The sequence below is a fragment of the Homo sapiens genome, chromosome 8 (assembly GCF_000001405.40).
Source record: "Homo sapiens chromosome 8, GRCh38.p14 Primary Assembly".
Lineage (NCBI taxonomy): Eukaryota > Metazoa > Chordata > Mammalia > Primates > Hominidae > Homo > Homo sapiens.
Genome location: NC_000008.11, coordinates 29,083,842 through 29,102,862, shown reverse-complemented (window position 1 = coordinate 29,102,862; position 19,021 = coordinate 29,083,842). Strand labels below are relative to the sequence as shown.

Here is a 19,021-nt window from a genome sequence, read left to right as displayed (position 1 = left end):
GAGGAAATTAAGATTAGTCAATAGCATGAACAAATACCCAGTTAGCAGAATTGAATTTTGTGTTGGCTCCATCGCCTTCCTGAAAGCCGTGATGGTTTCACGCAGCCCTGGGAGGAGATGCCAAGCATGAGTCACTCCTCTTCCAGCTGCAGTGAAAGCTGCCATTGGACCCGAAATGTCACTGGCACTTCTCGTTATTTACCTTTTTGTCACTTTCCTGATCAAAACCAGACTCATTCCCAGAAAACCCAAAGAATCCGTATCTGGCAGAGGAGCAGGAGTGGGAAAAACTGCATGGGTCCCTGGGGACCAAGTCAGGCCCTCCCCGGAGCCTCCGGCGTTCTTACTTTGTCCACTTTGCCCCTGAGCATGGTGCTGCCTACCAGTGACTTCAGTATCGACTAGGATTTTATCTCTTTGAGTCTGCCGGTGAGGACAAATGTGCCCTAATGGCAGTAAAGCTGGGTAAGGATCCAAAACAAAGCCAGCTTCCCTCTGTGTAACTGTATCATGGCTGATTCTGAAGTGTGGTAGACATGCAGGATGTTGGAGACAGATCAGAGATTTATCTTTTTCGATTTCAGGTGGAGGGGTGTAGATTACTGGAGGAGAAGTAAAACAGGGATATCATACTCTTTCACGTTTAGACCTGAGCTATTGAGAGAGCCAGAGGTTTCCTGCGAAGTCCTTTTTAGTCCATGGTCCTGAGTTCATCTCCCTGTGAAGTACATTGAACTGGGTTGCTTCATTTTTCTTTTTTTTTTTTTCTTTTTTAATCTACCCCAACATTTTAGTAAAGGGAGGATAACTCTAGGACAGCTAAGCATATACAACATATTGGGAAGATAGTCATTGCGTTGTCCCTGGGGAACAGTGTGTGTAGCCGGACCCTGAACCACACTTTTCACCTCTGTCAAGAGGATGGAGGTTGTAGTGCAGGAGAAAAATCGAGTGAGTAATTCCAGTGGAGTGTTTCCGCAGAGATTCGTAGGCGTCAGCTGGAGGAGGGAAGCGCGTGGTACCCAGTTTAGCATCTGCATTGGTTGCTCCCTCTGAAGCAGAGCCTGTTCCATCCCAGCGCGATTTGAGGTCCCTGTCTCAGGACAGTGGGATCAGAATAGGTGGGGTTGCGGGGGGAGCATGTGAGGTTCCTCAAGGTTAAGATGACTGTTCAGGTAGAGGGCAGAGTGAGCCGTGTCTCTGTTTGTCACGCTCTGCAGGGCTGGCAGGATCTACGCATTGTGTATCTTTCAGTGTTCTCACTTTCAGTATTTGAGTAAATGAGATGGAGTTACTGCTCTGTTCTGATTGGGTAGTGCCTGCTGGGAAGAACTGCCCCTGAAGCCATCGGGGCCTGGGTGTGCCTTGGGGAAGAGGTGGCACCTCCATAATTTGTCGTTGGCCCAATTCTACGTCAAGCAGCCCAGGTGCCGACTCCAGATCAGCGGCTTAGTTTTCCTGAGGGACAGACCGCAGCCATATCAGCTACCAAACAAAGAAAATCTAAAATATGAAACAATACTCTCAAATTAAGTAAGTTGTCTTCAGAACAGCCATGTGTGAGCTCGCCACTGTACACAAAGCAGGTGGCTTTTCTTCCTCTGAGAAACTCCATGGAGGGCTGATCTTAGTGTTCAGTCACCTGATGGTGATATCCCCGGGTATACAAGGCCGCAGCTTCCCAGACAGATCATGAAATTTGAATGCAAAAATTAACAAAACATTCAAGTATGTAAATCAGCGTATGATTCATGGGGATGCCAGCGCTCCTCCGCTGAAGTATTTCAGAGCTTACGTTCTCGATGATCACGTGTTGCTCTCTCCCTTGTTCTCCTTGCTTCCTAATCAATCCTGACCATCACACCATTTTTAAAAAGGATACCAAGTGCTGAGAGAGTTCCTAGGGAAAAGTGGCATTCTCTGAGGTGCGCAGGACCCAGATCACTTAGGGCTTATTGATTTTTATGATTAGTACTTAGGTCGCTGCTAAAAGCAGATGGGTTTCCAATACATTTCTGAAACCTAAGAGGCCCTTCCTCCACAATCCATCTTCAAGAGCAGTGGAGAACTCACTGTCCCCATTTCGCTGATCAGGCAATTAGTAAAGAAAACTTGCCAGGCGCGTTGGCTCACGCCTGTAATCTCAGCACTTTGGGAGGCCGAGGCGGGCGGATCACCTGAGGTCAGGAGTTCGAGACCAGTCTGACCAACATGGAGGAAACACCCCCTCCATCTCTACTAAAAATACAAAATTAGCCGGGCATGGTGGCGCATGCCTGTAATCCGAACTACTCAGGAGTCTAAGGCAGGAGAATCGCTTGAACCCAGGAGGTGGAGGTTGCGGTGAGCCGAGATTGCGCCAATGAAACTCAGTCTCAAAAAAAAAAAACCTCGAGTTAATCATTAGGATTATTCATCTGTGCAGCACTAGCTCAAACTCATATTGCACACGATTATTAAACTCCAGTGGTAAAGAAGTCAGTGATTATCAGGGGATCAAAGGGAACTTAAAGCATTTAAAAGATTTACATCTCATCTCTTATCAGTTTTAGTACAAGCAACATTTGGGGTTTATTTCTTCCCTAGATAGGGCTGAAGTTAAAAGTGCTTTGATGGTATCACTATTTTTATGGCTCACCATGAATTTTGGAATGGTCTTTTAATCTATCAACTGATGAAATGTCTTTAATGGGAATTTACAAATAAGTTGAGAATACAATAAAATTTGATAATTCAGAGACTTCCATCATTGAGAATTTGTAATTATTTGACTTGGGTTTGACTGTAATTTATCTTTAATATCTATTTAAAATGAGAGATTTGGTAATATTTACTGTTATGCACTATATGTGAGTCAGTGGAAACACAGTCTGGGAGTAGAGAGAAGAGACACCCTCTGACTATAGAGTTGTTCGTGGGTTTCTGTGGAGAACTGAGTGAAAAAGGGTATCTTGAGGCAAAAGAGCAGAAGTGGTCTCAAAGCAGAACCGAAGGGAGAATTGCAGAAGGAATACGTCTGTATTCTGTGGGAGGCAACAGGATGCAGAGTAGAAAACATGTTAGGACAGAGCTTAATGGGAGACTGTAAACTGCAGTATGGAGGGGCTGTCCAAATGTGTGTGGGGGGGTATGATTATTATTGTTGGAGAAATTAATAAAATAAGCAGGATGACAAGTAGAAGAAAAGTGCTGATCGGGCATGGTGGCTCACACCTGTAATGCCAGTACTTTGGGAGACCAAGGAAGGAGGATTGCTTGATGCTGGGAGTTTGAGTATGGGCAACATAGTGACATCCCGTCTCTACAAAAGTAGTAAAAAGATTAGCCTCATGTGGTGGCATGTAGCTGCAGTCCCCACTGCTATGGAGGCTGAGGCGGGAGAATTGCTTGAGTCTAAGAGTTAGAGGTTACATGCGCTATGATGGCGCACCCCTGCACTCCAGCCTGGGTGACAGAAACTCTGTCTCTTAAAATAGAAAAAAAAAGTGCTGATGTAATCAAGCTTATATTCAAAGGAGCTTTAGTAATATATAACAGTTTTTTTTCTTGAGTATCTGTAATTTTTTTTTGTTTGGTTAATTGAATAACTTGAAACAAAATTGCCAATTTTGTCTTTACTAGGGCCGGTGGGAAAGTCAGCAGGATGTATCCCAAACCACAGTTTCCAGAGGAATAGCTCCTGCCCCCGCCCTCTCTGTTTCTCCCCAAAATAACCATTCTCCAGATCCAGGTAAGTTATCTTTTCACTTGTCAATTACTGTCAGAAATCTGAGCATCTTTCAGAAAGTTTAAATTAGAATTTCCTGCCAGGCAGCCACTGTTCTGCTAGATAATGTCCATCGAGTTGTTTCATTTCTCCTCTTAACAGGTTGAGTTCCATTGGCTCTGGAATGTTGGATTGATCTTGCATTGCTCTGATATATACCGCCTGATCATGATGTGTTAGCCGTACATTGCTGGAATCTCTTTGCACCTCTTTTTTAAGGACTTTTGTGTATGTGCTCTATAGTAAATATCTGTAATGTTTTATCTTCTCATCTTCATGTCTTTGTTAGGTTTTGTTATGATTGCATTGGCTTCATAAAACGACTTGGGAAATGTTTCTCCTCATTTTTTTTTTCTGGGAGAGTTTATGTAAGATTAGTATTACCTCTTCCTTAAATGTTTCATGAAATTCCGTAGTTACATGATCCGGGCCTGGAATCCTCTTTGTGGGGAGATTTTAAATTATGACTTGAGTTTCTTTTTTTTTTTTTTTTTGAGACAGAGTCTTGCTCTGTCACCCAGGCTGGAGTCCAGTAGTGCAATCTCGGCTCACTGCAACCTGCCCCTCCCAGGTTCAAGTGATTCTCCTGCCTCAGCCCCCCAAGTAGCTGGGATTACAGGCGCCCACCACCACGCCTGGCTAATTTTTGCATTTTTAGTAGAGATGGGGTTTCACCACGTTGGCCAGGCTGGTCTCAAACTCCTGATCTTAGGTGATCTGTCTGCCTCAGCCTCCCAAAGTGCTGGGATTACAGGCGTGAGCTACTGCACCCGGCAAGTTTATTTAGTATGGGAATATTTAGATCTTTGTGTCTCCTTTTGAGTCACCTATCATAGGTTATATTTTTTTCAAGGAGTTTCTTAGTTTATCTAGATTATTAAGTTTATTTTCATAAACATCACTTACTTTTTTTTTTTTTTTTTTTTGAGATGGAGTCTGACTCTGTCGCCCAGGCTGGAGTGCAGTGGTGCGATCTCGGCTCACTGCAACCTTTGCCTCCTGGGTTCAAGTGATTCTCCTGCTTCAGCCTCCTAAGTAGCTGGGACTGCAGGCACGTGCCACCATGCCAAGCTAATTTTTTGTATTTTTAGTAGAGACGGAGTTTCACCATGTTAGCCAGGTTGGTCTCTATCTCCTGACCTTGTGATCTGCCGGCCTTGGCCTCCCAAAGTGCTGGGATTACAGGCATGAGCCATCGCACCTGGCCACTTTACCTTATTTTTTAAATACTTATAGGATCTCTTGTGATGTTCCTTCTTTTTATTCTGATACTGATAATTTGTATTATCTGTTTTGAATACTTTTCTGACAGGTTTATCATATATATTAATCTCAGAACCAGTTTTTGGCTTTTTCTATTGCAATTGATTTTTTAAATTTTTCTGCATTTCACATATTTTGGTATGTTGTGCTTTCATTTTCATTCTATTCAGAGTATTTTAAAATTTCCCTCTGATTGCTTCTTTGATCCATGACTTATCAACTAGCATTAATTCTTTTTTATTTTTGGGGGTAATCTGTATTCCAGATTGTGTTCTATCTTGGTTAATATTCTATGTGCACTATTGTGTTTGGGGACATGATGTTCTATGTATATCTAATTAGGTCACTGTGGTTTATTGCCTTGTTCAAATCCTCTGGATCTTTGCTGATTTGGTGGAGGCCTATTCCATCAGTTCTTGAGAGGGCATTAGATATCCAAATATAATTGTGAAAATTATATGTGTTTCCCTTTATACCAGTTTTTACTTCATTCATTTAGAAGCTCTGATAATTAGCTTCTAATTATTTAAGATTGTTATATCTTCCTGATATAACACATTTAAGATTGTTATATCTTCCTGATAGAGTGGCCTATCATGAAATGTCCCTTTTGTCTCTGGGAATACTCTTACCTTGAAATCTCTCTTACCTATCATTTATATATAACTGCATCAAATTTATTTACTGTTTGCACGATGTATCTTTTTCTTGGCTTTTAAAATTTTAGCCTGTGTTTGTCTTTAAATTAAAAGCGATTGCCTTGTAGACAACATTTGGTTGGGTCCAGTTATTTCCCCCTGAATCTCATCTCGTAGTTCCTGCCCTTCAATCGGCATGCTTCACGAACCCTTCCATTGCCTCCCATTCTGGTCCGCCATATTTTTATTGGTTTTCTGCTTGGCCATTCTGTTTTTTGTTTCACTGTAACTCCTTATTTACCTTCTTTTGGGTTAATAAACAAAAATTAGTATCTCATTTTATTTCCTCTTTTTGCTTTTTTGGACACCTGTATTTGTTTGCTAAAGTCTTTGCTCAGAAACCCTACTTGGCATCCTTAACTTATCAAATCGCTTAGAGTTCATATGACGTCACCCCTCACCTCACAAATACAGGAACCATGCAACAGTGTAAGTCATTGACCTGTTCCTCTGGGCCCCTCATTTTGTACTGTTGTTTCATCTTCTACATATATAGGTATTCAAACCTCACTTTATGACGTTATTCTTTTTGCTTTAAAATAGCCACCTGTAGGCCGGGTGCGGTAGCTCCCACCTGTAGCCCTAGCACTTTGGGAGGCCTAGGTGTGGGTTAGTTGAGACCAGCCTGGGCAACATGGCAAAACCCCATCTCCACAAAAAAATACAAAAATCAGCTGAGCGTGGTGGTACACACTTGTAGTCCCTCTACTCAGGAGGCTGAAGTGGGAGAATTACCTGAACCTGGGAGGTTGAGGCTGCAGTGAGGCACAATTGCATCACTGTACTCAGGTCTAGGCGACAGAGTGAGATCCTTTCTCAAAAAAAAAAAAAAAAAAAAAAAAGAAAAGCTTGGGCTGGGTGCAGTGGCTTACGCCTGTAATCCCAGCACTTTGGGAGGCCAAGGCAGGGGGGATCACCTGAGGTCAGGAGTTCAAGACCAGCCTGGCCAACATGGGGAAACCCCTGTCTCTACTAAAAACACAAAAATTAGCCAGGTGTGGTGGCAGGTACCTGTAGTCCCAGCTCCTCCGGAGGCTGAGGCAGGAGAATCACTTGAACCTGGGAGGCAGAGGCTGCAGTGAGCCAAGATCACGCCATCGCACTCCAGTCTGGGTGACAGAGTGAGACTCTGTCTTAAAAAAAAAAAAACAAAAAACAAACAAAAAAAAACACTACTTGTCTTTTGAGAGAATACAGAAAAAATGGATAATCTTTTATGTTTTGTTTTTTGTTTCGTTTTGTTTTGTTTTTTTCAGATTATTTCTGGCAGTATCCAGTCTTTCCTGAAGGTCTTATTTTAATCTGATTTTATTTCTTTTTAGCCTGAAGAATATTCTGTAGTTTTGTTTTGTTTTGTTTTGTTTTTTTGAGATGAAGTTTTGCTCTTGTCGCCCAGGCTGGAGTGCAGTGGCCTGATGTTGGCTCACCACAACCTCTGCCTCCCGGGTTTAAGTGATTCTCCTGCCTCAGCCTCCCAAGTAGCTGGGATTACAGGCATGTGCCACCACGCCTGGCCAATTTTTGTATTTTTAGTAGAGATGGGGTTTCTCCATGTTGGTCAGGCTGGTCTCGAACTCCAGGCCTCAGGTGATCCACCCGCCTCGGCCTCCCAAAGTGCTGGGATTACAGGCGTGAGCCACCGCACCCAGCCTAGTATTTCTTAAGAGTACAGTCCTCCTGGAGAAAAATGCTCTCCTTTTTTGAAAGTATCTTTATTTCACTGTTTTGTTTTGTTGTTGTTTTAAGAATATTTTCACTGGATAGAGAACTCTGAGTTGGAGGTTTTTTCTTTTAGCACTTCAAAGATGTTTCCTCATCTCCAGCTCCTTCTTTTCTGCTGAGAATTCAGCCATCATTTGTCACCTCCCACTCAGTGTGGTATCTTTGTTTGGTTCACCTACTTTCAGAAGTTTCTCTTTATCTTTGTGGTAACTGTACTATGATTTGCTTAGTTATCATTTTCTTAGTATTTAACTTGCTTATCAAGTTATTGGATCCGTAAATTGATGTTTTTCAGCAATCGTGAGAAATGTTTAGACATTATTCATTAAAACTTTTCCCCCATCCTTTTCTCTCTGCTCTTTCTGAGAATCTAATTACTCATAGGTTAGATTGTTTAATATTGTCCTACAGGTCACAGAGGCTCTGTTCTTTTTTTTTTTTTTAATCTTTTTATTTTTTCTAGTTGGATAATTTTTTTCTGTGATTTCCAGGGCTCTGTTAAGCACATCCAGGGAATTTTTTCATTTCAGTCATTGTTTTTTTTTCAGTTCTAGAATTTCCATTTGCTGCTGCTTTTCTAGTTTTAATTTCTCCGCTGATGTTCCTGGTCTGTGCACTTGTCAAGACTGTATTCTCCTTTGCATCTTTGGACTTGGTTAAGAAAGCTGCCTTAAAGTCGTTGTCTGTTAAATCCAGTATCTAGACATCTCATGGTCTATTTTTATTGATTCCTTTGTTGACCGTGGGTCATATTTAATGTTTTACCAAATGTATTTGTATATATCCATGTGATTCATACCCCAGTCAAAATATAGGACATTGACATGACTCCAGTTAATTCCCATTCCCTGTGGTCAGCCAGTGTTCTGACGACTACTTCTCTAGATTACTTCTGCAGTTTCATAAATGGGGCCATATGATGTATGTCCTTTTTGTGTCTGTCTCTTTTGCTTACCATACGTGTTAAATTTTCCCAGATTGTTGATTGCATTAGTCATTTATTTTTTATTGGTGAGAAATACTTCACGACCATGCATTGTGTTTGTTGAAGAAACTAGGTTCTTGTAGAGTAGACTGGCACAGTAGGCCAGGTTCTTGCACAGCAGATTCTGTTCATTCTTACTTTTCCTGTTGTGTTCCCGTGAGACTGTTGAAACGCAATTCTGTCCCCTGTATTGCCTGTGAACTGGTAGGTAGAGCTAGATCCTTGATTCGATTCAGCTGATTTGAGAAGGATGCATGTGGTAGGGTGGGTGGGTGTGGATGTGTGGTCGGGAGGTTGGAGACACATAATGTCTGATGGTCTCATTTAGTGATATGTGCGGCCTTTGATTCATTACTGGCTAGATTTTTACTTAATGAGGGATTGTCCTTACTCTAGAATGTTAGTTTAATTTGATACAGAACTCTAGATTGTAATTTTTTTCCTCATCTTTGAAATAATTGTATATTTTTGGATCTTTATTCATCTTAACCCTATTTTATTTTCTGTCTCCTCTCTTATTTTTCTCATCCTTGTTTTTGTCTTGCTGTAAATAATTGGACTTTTCTAAACTGAGGTATGATGTATCTCTCGGCTCGGTATAGCCATCTCTTTGCTTTTTTATTTTTCAGTGGTCGCCCTCATGATTACAATGTACATCTTTAACTTTTTGCCGTATACTTACACTTAATATTCTACTGCTTTATGTAAAATGTAGAAACCTTACAGCTGTATCCATCCATTTACCAACTGAATTGCCAGTAAGTTTGGAATCCTTTCAGGGTTAGTGTGGAGAAGAGATCTGGGGGGAGTTGTGTGCATCTGTTGAGGCAAATGTATTCCTTAAGGTGACTTGCTTGTTCATTTCTAAATGTTGTGTGAATACGGCTTTTTATCACTTATGACTTGGGATTAGATTTTACTATAAATTAATAGGGGGAAGAAGTCTTAGTATATCATAAGTATACCTGTCTGTACCTCTGATCCCAGTCTTTGGAAATTAACAGCAGGTAAGAACGTAAGTTGTTCAGGGCGTCTCTCCCTGACTTTTAACAAACAACTCAAACACTACCCTTTACCCTTTTCCCAAAAGGTCAGTTTCATCATCTTCCTTCAGTAGTTATGAAAAATTAGATTGAATAAGACATAGTCCCTGACTTCAAAGAGCTTAAAGTCTAGACAAAGAGCTATACATCTGTGTCATTGGCAGTGTGACTTAAAAACCAATCCCATTTTATTCTAGGGCAGAAGTGAATGCTTGTGCCAATTAGTGACAGGATAGAGGTGAATTACTGTTCTGATGCTGATAGGAACACTGCATACTAGAGCATTTTGGCAGCACCCCAGTTACTGCTATTTAATTGAAAAAGAGACATTACTATGTTTGAGGGAAATTATGTAAACTACAATAATACTGTGTTTCTCTAATATTTTTTAAGGATACCTTTGGTTTTTGTTAGATTTGCTGACAAGTGATGTCTGTCAAATGTACAGGAAAGAAGATGTCTATGTAATTGTATTTGTTTTATCTTTTTCCCCTGTAATATGGGCAGGACTCAGTAACCTTGCAGCATCCTACTTGAATCCTGTCAAATCCTTCGTGCCGCAAATGCCAAAGCTCCTCAAGTCTCTCTTTCCCGTCCGCGATGAGAAGAGGGGCAAGCGGCCGTCTCCCCTCGCACACCAGGTAAAAAGCACCGAGAAAACAGCTGTGAACGTTTTTCTAATAAAGCGGTGCTCTGTGTTGCGCCAAAGCTGGAGGTGGAGGTGCGGCCTCTGGGTTGGGGCTAAACTGGGTTTTTAAACCCAGAAACAGCTGTCGGTCTTTTCTCCGCCACTCTCTTCAGAGATAACAGAGCTGTTTAAACTTACGGACACACTCCTTCCTTTCTGCTTTTAAGAAGTGCCAAGGACACTGCTAATGTGATGTATGGTAATAACACTTAGAGCAGCGGTAGTAAAATTTATGAAGTGCACTTAGCATTGTTTGTGTATTGCCAAGTAGAAAATGTAATTCTATTTTTATTTTTTGATTTCATTTGTTTTTTCAAACAATTTTATATCATGAGTGCCCTTCCCTCTCAACCTCTGTTTTCTCTGCTGTGGATAACCTGTTCTTTCACTGAAAAGTGATCACCTGTCTTATATCCTTTTCTCTTAAAACTCTTTACCCAGCTCTAGGGTAAGTGTTAGAGCAAATGCGAAAAGGTTTTCCAAACAATCAGGAAGCTGCTCTTATGCAATAGTGAATGGGAACCCCATTGGAAATGCAATTTCCAGCGTTATATAGGTGTTAACTCAGCAGAAAATGATAAATGAGGATTTATTTATACTCATTCAAAAACACATACAGGGCAAGTTCTGTTGTCCAAATAGGTCTTTTGACATCAGCTTCTTCACGTTCTTCTAAACATTCAAGTTGCAGTAATCCAGGTGAATCGTCTGAGACTTAACTAAAGAATTTTCTAAGTGTATGAATGCATATTCAGGGGAGAAGGAATTAGTTTTATCAGGCTGCCATGCAGATATGTAATTTTTAAAAATCTAGCTTTATATAAGCATATAAATAAGCATACACATACAGTAGATGAAACAATTAAAACCAAGATTTTACAGCTGTTTAAATTGTATTTAGACACATGGTGGGGCTTGAGAGTTACTGAAATGAATCTATGACTGCAGGAGCCAAGTCCTGTGGGGACCGAGGTAGGCAGTGATTATTTTTCCCAGTGCTTTTTTTCCCCAGAGATCCACCAGAACTGAACCAGTGGGTCATTATTTTGTACGTTATTCAGTTCTAAACTTCTGCATCATTGTTTCACAAAGTGTGATTCATGAACTGTCAGATTTAGGAGCTGTTTTAAAAAATAGTTTCTCAGCCTGCGCTGGGAACCCATAGCTAACTTGGAGAGACCTTGTAATCTGCATTTATAAGTGCCTGTCTGTGGTGATTCTTATTTTTATTCAGTGAAGTCTGCTATCCAGTGTTTTCAGTTGCTGTTTGGTGAAGGCGGAGTCATGTAGGTTGAAGGAAATTGGAATCACGTTGGAAGTCACGGAGTCAGCCTGCCATCATTACTATTCTCCTTTAAAGCTATTTTCAGTTTTCCATGTAGCAAGTCACATCACCTGCTACCTGTAGAACTTACTTATGCTCTTACTGTTTTGGCAACGAGTGATTAGCTCTCTCTGGAAGTGAGAGGAACAACAGTGTGTTAGAAACAAATGTAGTGATTGGAGAATAACTATAATGCCCAGGTTAGAGGTTACCTTGAAATATATAGAAGATTTCATAAGCAATTTTTATTCATTTACTCCAGTCTGTTCATTTATTGTTTGAGCACATATGAGCAAAGGTTTGGGAAAACTGGCCTCATACAAATATTTTGTATTTCATAAAAATATAAAATATATGGCCGAGTGCAGTGGCTCACACCTATAACCCCAGCCCTCAGGGAGGCCAAGGCAGGTGGCTCACCTGAGGTCAGGAATTTGAGACCAGCCTGGCCAACATGGCGAAACCCTGTCTTTACTACAAAAATTAGCCAGGCGTGCTCCTGTAGTCATAGCTACACAGGAGGCTATGAGAATTAGAATGAGGCTATGAGGCATGAGAATCGCTTGAACGCGGGAGGCAGAGGTTGCAGTGAGCCAAGATCATGCCACTGCATTCCAGCCTGGGTGACAGAGTGAGACTCTGTCTCAAAGTAAATAAATAAAAATAAAAATACATAAAGTATATAAATCTAAAACTGGTCTTGATGAAGATACCTGGTAGTAAAGCCAGAACATTCCAGTTGGTTTGTGAGAACTCTGCTCCTTGGAAGGCATTTCCCTTTTCTCAGGGTGGCCAGGGAGCTCCCCCTTGCCCACACCGCCTTGTCCTCATCCTGCAGACTTGGCGTCAACATAATGCTGGAAACACTTACATCTCCAGGCTTCAGTGCAACTTCCTTCGCCTGACTTCCCTTCCCTCGGTCCGCGATCCACTCCTGGGACTGTAGATTCCATCAAGTCTTTACATCCAGTGCCCAGAGCTCCAACGGGGGTGTTCTTTTTTGTTTTTAAACCTGTTTCCTTCCATGCATAAATCTCATTGAGTTCCGTGGCTTTAGCTGTTTAAACAGAGTAGCCAGAATGATCTTTCACAGCCTCACAGTCGTCAGTGGTGTGACACCTTCCAGTGTCTCCCACTGAAAGGAGTGAAATGTGAATTTCTCACTGTGGCTCACAGTGCCCTGCAGTGCCTGTACCCCGGCCTTGAATCTTCGTTCTTCTTTATTCGCTCACCAGTACTAAGCCAGATAAGCTGCCTTTTTAGCCTATAAGCATGTGAAGCGCCTTCAGTCTAAGAGCTCTGGCGCTGGCCCTGCCACCCACCCAGGCTGCTCTTCCCAAAGGCCTCCCGTAGAACATTCAGGAAAGGCCACTCTGAGGAAGGACGTCTGAGTCTAGAGTGGGCTTTGTTGAACAGCCACACCAGAACAGCTTCCACCATACATGCAGGCACTACATTACCATTTCTTTCTTTTTTTTTTTTTTTTTTGAGACAGAGTCTTGCTCTGTTGCCCAGGCTGGAGTGCAATCTTGGCTCACTGCAACCTCCACTTCCTGGGTTCAAGGGATTCTTCTGCCTCCTCCTCCTGAGTAGCTGGGATTACAGGCACCTGCCACCACGCTTGGCTGATTTTTGTATTTTTAGTAGAGACGGGGTTTCACCATGTTGGCAAGGCTGGTCTCGAACTCCTAACCTCAAATGATCTACCCGCCTCAGCCTCCCAAAGTGCTGGGATTATAGGCTTGAGCCACCACACCTGGCCCATTTCTGACCTTTTTATCGGGAGTTATTGTTTGGTTTATATGTTTATCAATTATCCCTCTCCACAATATTCCCTGAGGGCAAGGCTTGTTGTGCCAGAATGGTGCCTGGTACATAGAAGATGCAAAATGTCTATTGTTTGACATGTGAACAGATTATAATAATATTATTTTAGAGACAGGGTCTTGGTATGTCGCCCAGTCTGGAGTGCAGTGGTGCGATGATAGCTCACTGCAGCGTTGAACTCCTGGGCTCAGGGAATCCTCCACCCTCAGTCTCCCAAGGAGCTAGGACTACAAGTGCGCTCCATCACGCCCAGCTAACTTTTTAAATATTTTTATTTTTAGAGACAGAGTCTCGCTGTGTTGCCCAGGTTGGTCTTGAACTCCTGGGCTCAAGTCCTCCCGTCTGGTATCCCAAGTGGCTGGGATTATAGGCGTGAGCCACCATGCCCAGACTGTAATATTAGATTGTGGGTCCCAAGTGCTACTCAGTGGTAGACAGGACTGTGTTTACAGCTTAGAGGTGAAAGAAGCATGGCTGAGTGGGGATTAGAGGGATGAAGACATATTTAAGAACCTTCTTTTCCTAGGTTGGTGGAAGTGCTAAAGAACATTTCCAAAGGAGAGAGAAATCTTAGCTTTTCATTTTGGATTTAGTTGATCAGAGACGCTCTTGGTTGTCTCATTTTCACTGACCATCTCTACTAAAGCTCTGTGAGAAATAAATTAGAATTATAGATGATAATGTCAAGAAAACTTTTTCTTACTTGGGTCACACTTCAGGGTACAACAAGTGAAGCATACTTTAAATATGCTTTGAATATGCTTTATGCTTTCACTTGTTGTACTCTGAAGTGTGTTTCTTCTCTGAAAAAGGGCATTTTTAGTGCCTGTGGAATTGCAAATAACAGGAAGAAGAAAAATGCTGTATTGGCTAGACTCCTTTAGTGTTCCTCATTTTTTTAAAATAGTAATCTTTGTTATAATGGAGTTCCATGCACTTGAAAATCAGATTTGTGATTTTCACAATTTTCACAAACTTCACTAGAATGTGAAGTTTGGACTTCTAAAACAATCTCTACTCCCCCTCCTGGGGGTTCTACAGGAACAAGATAATCAACCAGTCTTTGCCTCAGAGTTTGTTCTTACCAGGAAGTAAAGGGAGTGGGGAGGATTGTATATGTGAGCCACCCTGCCCAGCAAGACCCTATTTTTAAGGTGTTTAGATTAGCAGATATTCTTTAAGTAAGCATCTTTAATCCTTCATGGGCACTTGAAAAAAGAATAACCATCATTTTGGATGAAGTGAGTATTACAGCCTTTAAAATATATAATTTTTTTTTTTAAGATGGAGTCTCCCTCTGTCGCCCAGGCTGGAGTACAGTGGTGCGATCTCAGCTCACTGCAACCTCTGCTTCTCAGGTTCAAGTGATTCTCCTGCCTCAGCTTCCCGAGTAGCTGGGATTACAGGCGCCCGCCACCATGCCCCGCAAATTTTTGTATTTTTAGTACAGACAGAGTTTCACCATGTTGGCCAGGATGGTCTCGATCTCTTGATGTCGTGATCCGCCTGCGTCAGCCTCCCAAAGTGCTGGGATTACAGGCGTGAACCACTGCGCCCAGCCAAAATATATATGTATAATCTTCTTATATACATATTTGAATAAGTTTACTATTATGTAGAAGTTTTTTTTTTTAATTTATTTTTTGTGACAAGGTCTCGCTCTGTTGCCCAGGCTGGAGTGCAGTGGCGTGATGATAGCTCTCTTAGAATTTTTGTTCTCTCAGACCTCCCCCATCTTAACAGCTCTAGATGAGTCTCCCACATCTCATCTGGGAAACGCTTCGTCATTCTACAGTTGTCTCGCCAGGGTGCTTCCTAAAGTGAGGAGTCCAGAAATGAGAAGAGTTCCCCCTGGGCTTGCAAATGCTGGCAGTGTTTCCTTTCTCGTCTAAATGGTGGCCTCTACCGACGCAGCGTGGAACTGCGCTTGGGTGGGCTTGCTTTTGAAAGGTGTTAGCTCATTGTGCTGTTGGTCAGGTAACATCACCAGGTTTTTTGTCTGTTGATACTCTTGTCACTGTACTACTTCTCTTTTATTATGTGGTCTAATTGATGTGTGAAAATAATGAGGAACTTCAGATTCATTCCTAGAATTTTTTATCTTTGATGTTGTTTTAACATTCCCAGGATATCAAGATCTTTCTGAGTAATTTTTTAAATAATGCATACATTCTGGCTGTCCACACACTTCTAAAGCTGTAATCTCTCTGCGTTTGAGACTATTGAAATATTGAACATAATAAGGCCTAAGGCAGGGCTCTGTACCTGGAAGTAGACATCACTTGTCAAGCCGCAGAGTGACAGACCAACACATTTCATTTCCAGGTAGCAGGTAACTACCTTCTCCACTCCACACTTCTCCCTCTTTCTACCAAAGAGTTTGTGGGAGACTGTGTTATATACATTATGGAAATAAAGTCGCCCTGCAGCCAGGGCCATCCTCTGTGTCACCAATCAAGTAAGCCTGAAGCAGAGTGGATGTTGATGACGGTGGCTGGACTGCCCTGCGCACACACTGGCGTGGCTACGGCTCTGCGTGAGGCATCCAGTGCTGGACTTAGCAGCACCTTAAAGAAATACACAAGTACCCGGAACTTTCCTCTCTGTTTTGAGTCTTGTGCTTTATTTTTATTTACTAGTGCCTGTTAGTGCACCAATTTCAATAGTCTTTGACCATTAAATGATTGTAAAATAAGCAGTATCAGATATTTAAATGTTTAGATAACATCAAGATAAAGTCCAGAAAAATACAGGCCCATTCATATGCCTAAAAGGAATCTGGATCAATAGTACAATATAGGAAGGGGGAAATAGTGATACTAATATGGCTTAAAGACTTAGATAGTCAACATCGCTTAAGGGTTATAATGTGAAACAGCACAAAAACAAAACACCCCGAATGGTTTGGGGATCGACATGGAAACCAAGCAAGTCATGTTTAATAACACACTTCCTGAAACCGTTTGTCTCCCATTTCCCACCTGTCATGAAAGAGACAAACTGCTTTTTTATTTTATTTTATTATTTGAGACCAGGTCTTGCTTATCACTCAGGCTGGAGTGCAGTGGTGCAATGATCGCTTACTGCCGCCTTGAACTCCTTGGCTCAGGTGATCCTCTAACCTCAGCCTCCCAAGTAGCTGGGACTAAAGGTATGTGAGATGATGCCTGGTTGAGACAGGTCTCAAACTCCTGGCCTCAAGTAATCCTCCGGCTTAGTCACCCACATATGTTTTTATTCCAGTTTAGCTTGGAGACTTAAAACTTCTCTGAACAGTTGTAATAATGCAGAAACTCACACTATCCTATCTAAACAAAACCCCAGCCCCCACCCTGGGCTCTCTTTGATATTATTAGATGACACTTAGATTACTGTACTTGGTTCTGGATTTATTACTACTAGAAATGCAGTGACCAGTTGGAATTGTTTCAGAGAATAACATCAAAAATGATTTATGAGGAAGGATTAAAGGAGTTATTTATGGCTTCACCAAACAATGACTAAGAGAGCTGACTATATAAGCATTCAAGGGATACCAGCACCAAGGAGGGGAAGGATTGTTAGGGATGGTTTTGCTAAAGCAGTGGAGGGTCCTAGGGCCATAGAAATGAAATTAACAGAGAGAATGGTGACAGCTGACAGTGGGAAAATGGTTTATAGATAGCAAGGTACTCTTTTTTTTTTTTTTTTTTTTTTTGTTACGGGCTCTTGTTCTGTCACCCAGGCTGGAGTGCAATGGTGCTATCACAGCACACTGTGGCCTCAACCTCTTGGGCTCAAGGGATCCTCCCATCCCAGCCTGGCTCCCTTTAAAAAAAAAAAAAAAAAAAAAAAAAAAAAAGAAGAGTATTTCTGTTACTTAAAAACAGGAAGTTAGACTGGGTGCTGTGGCTCACACCTTTATCTCAGCACTTTGGGAGGCCAAGGCAGGCAGATCACTTGAGCTCAGGAGTTCGAGACCAGCCTGGGCAACATAACAAGACCCCTGTCTCTACTAAAAATTAAAAAAAAAAATATGTGGGTGTGGTGACACACACCTGTCTCAAAAATAAAATAAAAACAGAAAGTTTATGAGGATATAAAATAATCCAGGTAAGGACTGAGGAATAGAATGGGTCCTGTTTTTACCAGTCATTCCTTATATTTTGTTATGTTAAGTGGAAAAGAGGTACACAAGTTGTGTAGTGAAGGAATGATTATTATCAAAAAATACTTTTCATTAGAGTGTCCTTCACATTTTCAGACAAGAATGTTCAGTTCCCTCCCTCATGCAAAGATACACAGACCCATAACTGCAGAGAAGCTTTAATGAAAACCTGGATGCTTATTAACCTGTTCTTTGGAATCAGCAGGTTCTCAGGTGAAGATGTTATTATTTTCTTGTTACTTTTTCTTAATATTGTTTATCAAATGGAAACGGAAAGGTTCCTGGATCTTTTTTTGTAAGACAAAAGTCAATAGTTTATTCAGAAAGTTTAAAAACAAAGATATTCGTATAATTTACAAGATCTTTTGGTTTGAACATATTCATAAGGACTTATGTTTCTCATTTTTATGGAGATTTGTTTTTGTTTGTAGTCAATTTCTGTCTGAGTTCCAGAAATGCAAAAATACTGCACTGAAAGAGGTGGCAGCTGACAAAATTGCTGTCTTTGACCTTCTGATGCAAGTTTAGTAACTAATCTGGAAAATAATGAACTGCAATTAATGAAATCTGTACTCATATTCAAGTGTGTTTCTCAGACAGCACATAAAATAATTGAAGGAACTTCCTGCTCTCTAATTAGTTAGATTGAATTAATTTGGCATAATAGCTTTTTTTCATGTATCTAGAAGTTTGTGTTCAGATGAAGCTATTTATGTACTTCAAAGTTAGGAACTGTAAATGGCGTCTTTGATGAATCTGGAGAATTAAAGGGTTAATGGTCAGATTTAATTTCCACTATCAAAAGCACAGTCACAATGCCGGCCTGTCTTGATTTATGTGTCTGTCCCTTTTGGTTAGGGCTGCCTTATCAACAGCAGGGATATTTTTCTCCTATTTCAACATAGCCTCACGTGTGGTAGGTAGATAAAGGCTTGTGTAGAAAGAGCACCCCTCTGCCCATCTCTGATGCTAATTGAAAAGGTGTCTGTATAATTATCCATCTTCCATTACTGTGATTCTTCCTTATATAAAACAGGGAGAAACAAGCACAAATACTAATTCTTGCCTTGTACACAAGGATGATGTTTTGAGCTAACATACTTCTTTGATTAAATGAATTATATAAACACGTATCCTTGTGTCTCAAGTAAAGGTTCAACATCCTAACTAAAAGAAGAAAACACGGTCGGGTGCGGTGGCTCACGCTTGTAATCCCAGCACTTTGGGAGGCCGAGGTGGGCGGATCATGACGTCAGGAGTTTGAGACCAGCCTGGCCATCGCAGTGAAACCCCATCTCTACTGAAAGAAATACAAAAATTAGCTGGGCGTGGTGGTGGGCGCCTGTAATCCCAGCCACTGGGGAGGGTGAGGCAGGGGAATCGCTTGAACCCTGGAGGCGGAGGTTGCAGTGAGCCGAGATTGAACCACCACACTCCAGCCTGGGTGACAGAGCGCAACTCCGTCTTAAAAAACAAACAAACAAAAAACACATCTAGGCCTTGTTCCCAGCCTTCATTTTTCTTAAACTTTCAGGTTATTTAAAAAATAACATATATG

The 19,021-nt window shown here is 41.5% G+C and overlaps 1 protein-coding gene across 8 annotated transcripts in view, besides 1 other annotated feature; it reads left to right on the top strand.

Annotated features, from left to right (window-relative positions):
• KIF13B (kinesin family member 13B) overlaps positions 1-19,021 on the top strand; it is a 196,111-nt gene that overhangs the window by 160,526 nt on the left and 16,564 nt on the right. For 7 of the 8 annotated variants that reach the window (XM_011544459.4, XM_005273458.2, NM_015254.4 and 4 more), the window contains 2 exons: positions 3,622-3,730; positions 9,985-10,118. In XM_011544459.4, the coding sequence (XP_011542761.1) occupies positions 3,622-3,730; positions 9,985-10,118 (243 nt within the window). The remainder of the gene's footprint in view (positions 1-3,621; positions 3,731-9,984; positions 10,119-19,021) is intronic. The other variant, XM_017013257.2, reaches the window with a different exon arrangement.
• Positions 15,145-15,316: a silencer, noted in NCBI's record as "fragment chr8:28945064-28945235 (GRCh37/hg19 assembly coordinates)". NCBI's record gives its function as "represses an EF-1alpha promoter that drives an FKBP-Casp9 reporter gene in an ReSE screen in HepG2 liver carcinoma cells {active_cell/tissue: HepG2}" and the evidence as "EXISTENCE:reporter gene assay evidence [ECO:0000049][PMID:32094911]".